This window comes from Homo sapiens, chromosome 1, assembly GCF_000001405.40.
Source record: "Homo sapiens chromosome 1, GRCh38.p14 Primary Assembly".
Taxonomy (NCBI): Eukaryota; Metazoa; Chordata; class Mammalia; order Primates; family Hominidae; genus Homo; species Homo sapiens.
This window is the reverse complement of record NC_000001.11, coordinates 15,827,407-15,834,034: the sequence shown is the minus strand read 5'-3', so window position 1 is coordinate 15,834,034 and position 6,628 is coordinate 15,827,407. Positions and strand designations below refer to the sequence as shown.

Sequence of the window (6,628 nt, the reverse complement as noted above, 5' to 3'; positions counted from 1 at the left end):
AGGTTTTTTTGTTTAATTTTTTTTAAGTTTTTCTTCACAGCGTGAGTACATAGAAGAGCCAGCCCTTTATATTCTTACTATGTATAATTATAGGGAGTTATTTCAGTAACAGGAGGTAAAGCTCATAATGATAGGATGAAAAGGTAAAAGAACATCTGTTGAAGGAATCGATCAGGATTTGATGGCTTCCAGATGAAAGAAATATCTGAGAAGAGGCTTTTGGATTCCAAATAATTTAGTTTCATTATGACCAAAAGCACTGCATAGAGCTTTAAATTTTTATACCGTATCTTTTGACATCAACTATCCTTTTTTTTTTTTTTTTTTTAAGACAAGGTCTCTGTTTTTTGCAGTAACGAAATCACAGCTCACTGCAGCCTCGACCTCCCTGGACTCAGGTTATCCTCCCACCTCAGCCTCCTGAATAGCTGAGAATAGGCGCGAATCACCACGCTGGGCTTTTTTTTTTTTTTTTTTTTTTTTTTTTGAAGGAGGCTCGCTCTGTCACCCAGGCTTGAGTGCAGTGGATCTTGGCTCACTGCAACTTCCGCCTCGGGGAGTAGCTGGGACTACAGGCACGCCTCAGCACGCCCGGCGAATTTTTGTATTTTTAGTAGAGATGGGGTTTCACCATGTTGGCCAGCATGGTCTCCATCTCCTGACCAAGTGATCCGTCCGCCTCGACCTCCCAAAGTGCTGGGATTTCAGGCATAAGCCACCGTGCCTGGCGCTGGGCTAAGTTAACCTTTTGTAGTGACGGTTTCACCATGTTGCCCCGGCTGGTCTTGAGCGTCTAGGCTCAAGAGATCCTCTCAAAGTGTTGAGCTTACAGGCGTGAGTCACCGCGCCTGGCCTATCCTTCCTTTTGGCGGTGAGAGCTTACAGAATTTTTTTTTAAATGCTGTGTTTTTTTTCTTTTTTGTCTGCACAATGAAAATGAAATAGTGTAAAACTATTAGTTTTAGTGGAAATTTGGAATCTGTTACAGTAGCCTGATAACTCAGGTAAATTATTATGGCTCTAATTAGCTGGGCAGTTTAGATTCGAAGAATGATTGCCCAGCACTTGAACAGACTAGAAGGGTCTGTTTAAACACTCCTAATTCCTGGGGTTCATTTTTATTTATAAAACACATACTTTGGGCCAGGCGCAGTGGCTCACGCCTGTAATCCCAGCCCTTTGGGAAGCCAAGGCGGGCGGATCACGAGGTCAGGAGATCGAGCCCATCCTGGCTAACACGGTGAAACCCTGTCTCTACTAAAAAAAAAAATACAAAAATTAGCCGGGCTTGGGGGCGGGCGCCTGTAGTCCCAGCTACTCGGGAGGCTGAGGCAGGAGAATGGCATGAACCCCGGGAGGCGGTGCTTGCAGTGAGCCGAGATCGTGCCACTGCACTCCAGCCTGGGCGACAGAGCCCAAAACAGATGCTTTATACCTTTAACCATTACATTTAACACAGAAAGCACATACTTTTATTGTACAAAAAATGGCGTTGATTTGTATTTTCTTAAAGAGTGGGTGGTGGCTGGGCGCGGTGGCTCACGACTGTAATCCCAGCACTTTGGGAGGCCGAGGCAGGCGGATCACCTGAGGTCAGGAGTTGGAGACCAGCCTCAACATGGAGAAACCCGTCTCTACTAAAAATAGAAAATTAGCCAGGCGTGGTGGTGCATGCCTGTAATCCCAGCTACTCCGGAGCCTGAGGCAGGAGAATTTCTTGACCCTGGGAGGCAGAGGTTGCGGTAAGCCGAGGTCGCGCCATTGTACTCCAGTCTGGGCAAGAAGAGCGAAACTCTTGTCTCAAAAAAAAAAAAAAAAAAAAGAGTGGGTGGTGTTTGCACAGTTAACATCTCCCTTATGACCAATGGCGTACATTTGCAAAACAGTTAAACAGAAATCCAGAGCTAACCTCCTCCCCCATCCTCATATCGACCTTAAGACTTTTTCCAGCTTCCTAAACCGAAAAAACCCAAACACTGTTGGAACTAGTGAACTTTAAATATGCAGAGAACCATGTTCAAATAAACAGATTTTGAATCACCACAATTTCATGATCTGCCCTAGAGGTGAAAAGGCCTTTGTTTATGTAGTCCTGTATCTCATTTGTGTTTGTCAAGCTAGACCAGACTAGTGAATTCCAGAATTGCCAATTCATTGTTCATGTAGTTTTTCTTTCTTACTCTAAAACTGAGGTGTCTGAATTAATTTGTACCACATTTGTGTTCCCTAAAAGAGGGTAGATGTTAACCAAAACTTTGATTACACCCAGATTCTTAAGACAGTCAAGGCAGTATAGAAATGGTGTGGGCTGGGCTGGGTGCAGTGGCTCAACGCCTGTAATCCCAGCACTTTGGGAGGCCGAGGCAGGCAGATCTCGAGGTCAGAGATCGAGACCATCCTGGCTAACACGGTGAAACCCCGTCTCTACTAAAAATTAAAAAAAAAAATTAGCCGGGTGTGGTGGTGGGCGCCTGTAGTCCCAGCTACTCGGGAGGCTAAGGCAGGAGAATGGCGTGAACCTGGGAGCCGGAGCTTGCAGTGAGCCGAGATCGTGCCACTGCACTCCAGCCTGGGCGACAGAGCGAGACTCTGTCTCAAAAAAAAAAAAAAAAAAAAAAGTAAATGGTGTGGACTAGGCCCCTTTTGCCCATGCCTTTGGATTTGTTCTTTTTTTTTTTTTTTTTAATCCATTGTTCAAGGAAAGAACAGCTTCTCAAGGCAAATTCTGGAATAGAAGAGAATTTAAAACAGCAATAACTTTTTCCTAGTAAAGATAAATGAGGTTCTTTAGAGACTTTAGTAATATGGGAAGTCCTTCAAAATATTTTTGGCTGCAGTTAGCACTCCCACACGGTGTAATAATTTTTTCTCCTTTGAGGCAAAACGTTCAGAGAGTTGGTTATAAAATGCTTCCCTGTACTTCAGAAGTATTGGAGTTCAAGGAACAAATCCTTGCAGCAACAGTATACTTAGAAAAATAGAAACATGGCCAGGCACGCTGGCACATGCCTGTAATCCCGGCACTTTGGGAGGCCGAGGCGGGCAGATCACGAAGTCAGGAAATCCAGACCAGTCTGACCAACATGGTGAAACCCCGTCTCTACTAAAAAACATAAAAATTAGTCAGGCGTGCTGGCACGCGCCTATAGTCCCGGAGGCTGAGGCAGGAGAATCGCTTGAACCAGGGAGGGCGGAGATTGCAGTGAACCAAGATGATGCCACTGCACTCCAGCCTGGGCGACAGAGCGAGACGCCGTCTCAAAAGAAGAAGAAAAATAGAAACACATCTATAAAAGTAAACAAAGCCCCTGAGACATCCAACATTTGTTTGTCCTGCCAGAGTACAAAATGGTCATCCCCAAAGCAAAATTCTATCCTGACAAGTGTGCAGATTATATGAAACCTGTAGATTTATCATGTTGGCATCATGGTATAGTGGCCTAGTTAGACAATATATCAAAAAGACTCTGAAAACTCAGGATTTTAATTTACTTGTTTAACAATTTTTGAGCATCAAACAATGTGCCAGAGCCTGTCACCGGTGTTTAGGTACATCACTGAATAAAAACAAAGCAAAGATCCCTGTTCTCATGGAGCTTACCCCTGGTGGAGGAGAAGGGAGACAGACAATAAGGAAATTAAATAATAAAAGTGGCAAGTGCTATAGTGAAAATACAGTGAAGGATAATAGAGATGAAGCAAGTCTTGCAATTTTAAATGAGGTGGTTAGGATAGGCCTCAAGAAGGAGATGGTTTTACTTTTATTTGTACTTTTTTAGAGAAAGGGTCTCGCCGTCACCCAGACTGAAATGCAGTGGTGTAATGCTAGTTCACTGCAGCCTCTAACTCTTTGGCTCAAGTTATCTTCCCGCTTCATCTCCCCAAAGTGCTAGGATTACAGGTGTGTGACATGGCGCCCCAACAAAGAGATAATTTATGAATGAAGATTTGCAGGAGCTAAGGGAGCAAATCGTGGATATCTAGGGAAGAGACTGCAAAGGGAATCGTAAATGAAAACACCTTCAGGGAGGAGCAAGCATGACTGGCACATATGAAATAGAGGAAGGAAATCAGTGTGGTTGAAATAGGATGGTCATAGCTGGGCGTGGTGGCTCATGCCTGTAATCCCAGCACTTTGGGAGGCAGAGGTGAGAAGATTGCTTGAGGCTAGGAGTTCCAGGTCAACCTGTGCAACATAGCGAGACTGGTCTCTACAGCATGTTACAATTACCTGGGCGTGGTGTTGTGCGCCTTTAGTCCCAGCTACTTGGGATGCTGAGGCAGGAGGATTGCTTGTGCCTGGGAGTTTGAGGTTACAGTGAGCTATGATTGCACCACTGCACTCCCACCTGGGAACATGGTGAAACCTCGTCTCTACAAAAAATATAAAAGTTATCCAGGCATGGTGGCGTGCACCTGTGGTCCCAACTACTTGGGTGGGAGAATTGCCTGAGCCTGGGAAGTGAGTCGAGGCTGCAGTGAGCCTTGATTGAGCCACTGCACTCCAGCCTGGGTGACAGTGAGACCCTGTCTCAAAAAAAATAGAATGGTCAAGACGGGGGTATAGGATGAATGTCAAAGAGTCAGAGGAGTGTGTGGGGCAGATCTGTAGAACCTGGTAAACTGTAATAGGTTTTTATGGCTTTTAATGATATGACAGGTTTTAGAAGGATTGCCCAAAGTATTGAAAATAAGAGGCCCTGGGCCCTGTAATACCAACACTTTGAGAGGCCGAGGTGGGCGGATCACGAGGTCAGGAGATCGAGACCCTCCTGGCTAACAGGGTGAAACCCCGTCTCTACTAAAAATACAAAAACAAAATTAGCCGGGCGTGGTGGAGGGGGCCTGTAGTCCCAGCTACTCCGGAGGCTGAGGTGGGAGAATGGGTGAACCCTGGAGGCAGAGCTTGCGATGAGCCGAGATTGCGCCATTGCACTCCAGCCTGGGCAACAGAGCGAAAGTCCGTCTCAAAAAAAAAAAAAAAAAAAAAAGAGGCCCAGGGTAGAAGCAGGAGCCAAATGAATCGGCCATATCAGTAATCCAAGTGAAGGGGAGGGTGGCTTTAATGACCAAAATATATCCTGGAGATACATATAGAGAGAGAGAGAGATTTTTTTTTTTCAGATGGAGTCTTGCTCTGTCACCCAGGCTGGAGTGCAGTGGCATGATCTCGGCTCACTGCAGCCTCTGCCTCCTGGGTTCCAGCGATTCTCCTGCTTCAGCCTCCTGGGTAACTAGGATTACAGGCACATGCCACCACACCTGGCTAATTTTTGTGTTTTTTGTTTTGTTTTGTTTTTTAACTTTAAAATCCCTCAAAAACTGTTTATTATACAGGTGAATTTTGATAGTCATGATGGGCTTATCGGTAGGATTTCTGGTAGCGAGCATGGGCACCAGGGCCTCCAAACTTTTTGGACTCCCGGCAACGAGGATCAGCTACCAGCAGGGTCTGGTCATACTGGATGAGGATGTCTTTGATCTCCTTCTTGGAAGCCTCATCCACATATTTCTGGTAGTAGGCCACCAGGGCTTTGGAGATGGACTGATGGATAGCATAAATCTGGGCCACGTGACCACCACCCTTCATACGGACACAGATGTCCACACCAGCAAACCGCTCCTTGCCGAGAAGCAGAACTGGCTCCAGCAGCTTGTATTGTAGCATGCGCAGCTCAATCATCTCCAGGGGCCACCCGTTCACCTTGATGAGACCATTGCCGCGTTTGCAGTGCGCCACAGCTGTGGCTGTCTTCTTGCGTCCGAAGACCTGCACCGACTGCAGCGGGCCCTTGGTCGGCATGGCTGCGGGCGTGGACTAGAGTGAGTGTGTTTTTTTGTTTGTTTTGTTTTGTTTTTTTGTTTGAGACGGAGTCACACTCTGTCGCCCAGGCTGGAGTGCAGTGGTGCGATCTCGGCTCACTGCAACCTCCGCCTCCCAGGTTCAAGCTATTCTGCCCCAGACTCCCAAGTAGCTGGGATTACAGGCATCTACCACCACGCCTAGCTAATTTTTGTATTTTTAGTAGAGACGGGGTTTCACCATATTGGCCAGGCTGGTCTCGAACTCCTGACCTCACGTGATCTGCCTGTCTCAGCCTCCCAAAGTACAGGGATTACAGGCATGAGCCACCGCGCCTGGCCGTTTTTTTTGTTTGTTTGTTTGTTTGAAACAGGGTCTCACTCTGTCGCCGAGACTGGAGTGCAGTAGTGCAATCTCGGCTCACTGCAACCTCCGCCTTCCAGGTGCCTCAGCCTCCTGAGTAGCTGGGACAACAGGTGTGTGCTACTACTGCCTGGCTAATTTTTTTTTTTTTGAGATGGCGTGTCACTCTTGTCGCCCAGTGTGGGCGACATCATGGCTCACTGCAACCTCCACCTCCCGGGTTCAAGCGATTCTCCTGTCTCAGCCTCCCAAGTAGCTGTGATTACAGGCATGTGCCGCCACGCCTGGCTAATTTTTTGTATTTTTTAGTAGAGATGGGGTTTCACCGTGTTGGTCAAGCAGGTCTCAAATTCCTGACCTCCCAAAGTGCTGGGATTACAGGTGTGAGCCACCGGGCCCTGGATATATTTTAACAGTAAATCCAAGCAGACTTTCTGGTAGGTTGAACCTGGGATTGATAAA

General features: G+C 46.6%; 1 pseudogene; it reads right to left on the bottom strand.

The window, feature by feature from the left end:
* On the bottom strand, nucleotides 5,302–5,823 carry RPS16P1 (ribosomal protein S16 pseudogene 1; annotated as a pseudogene).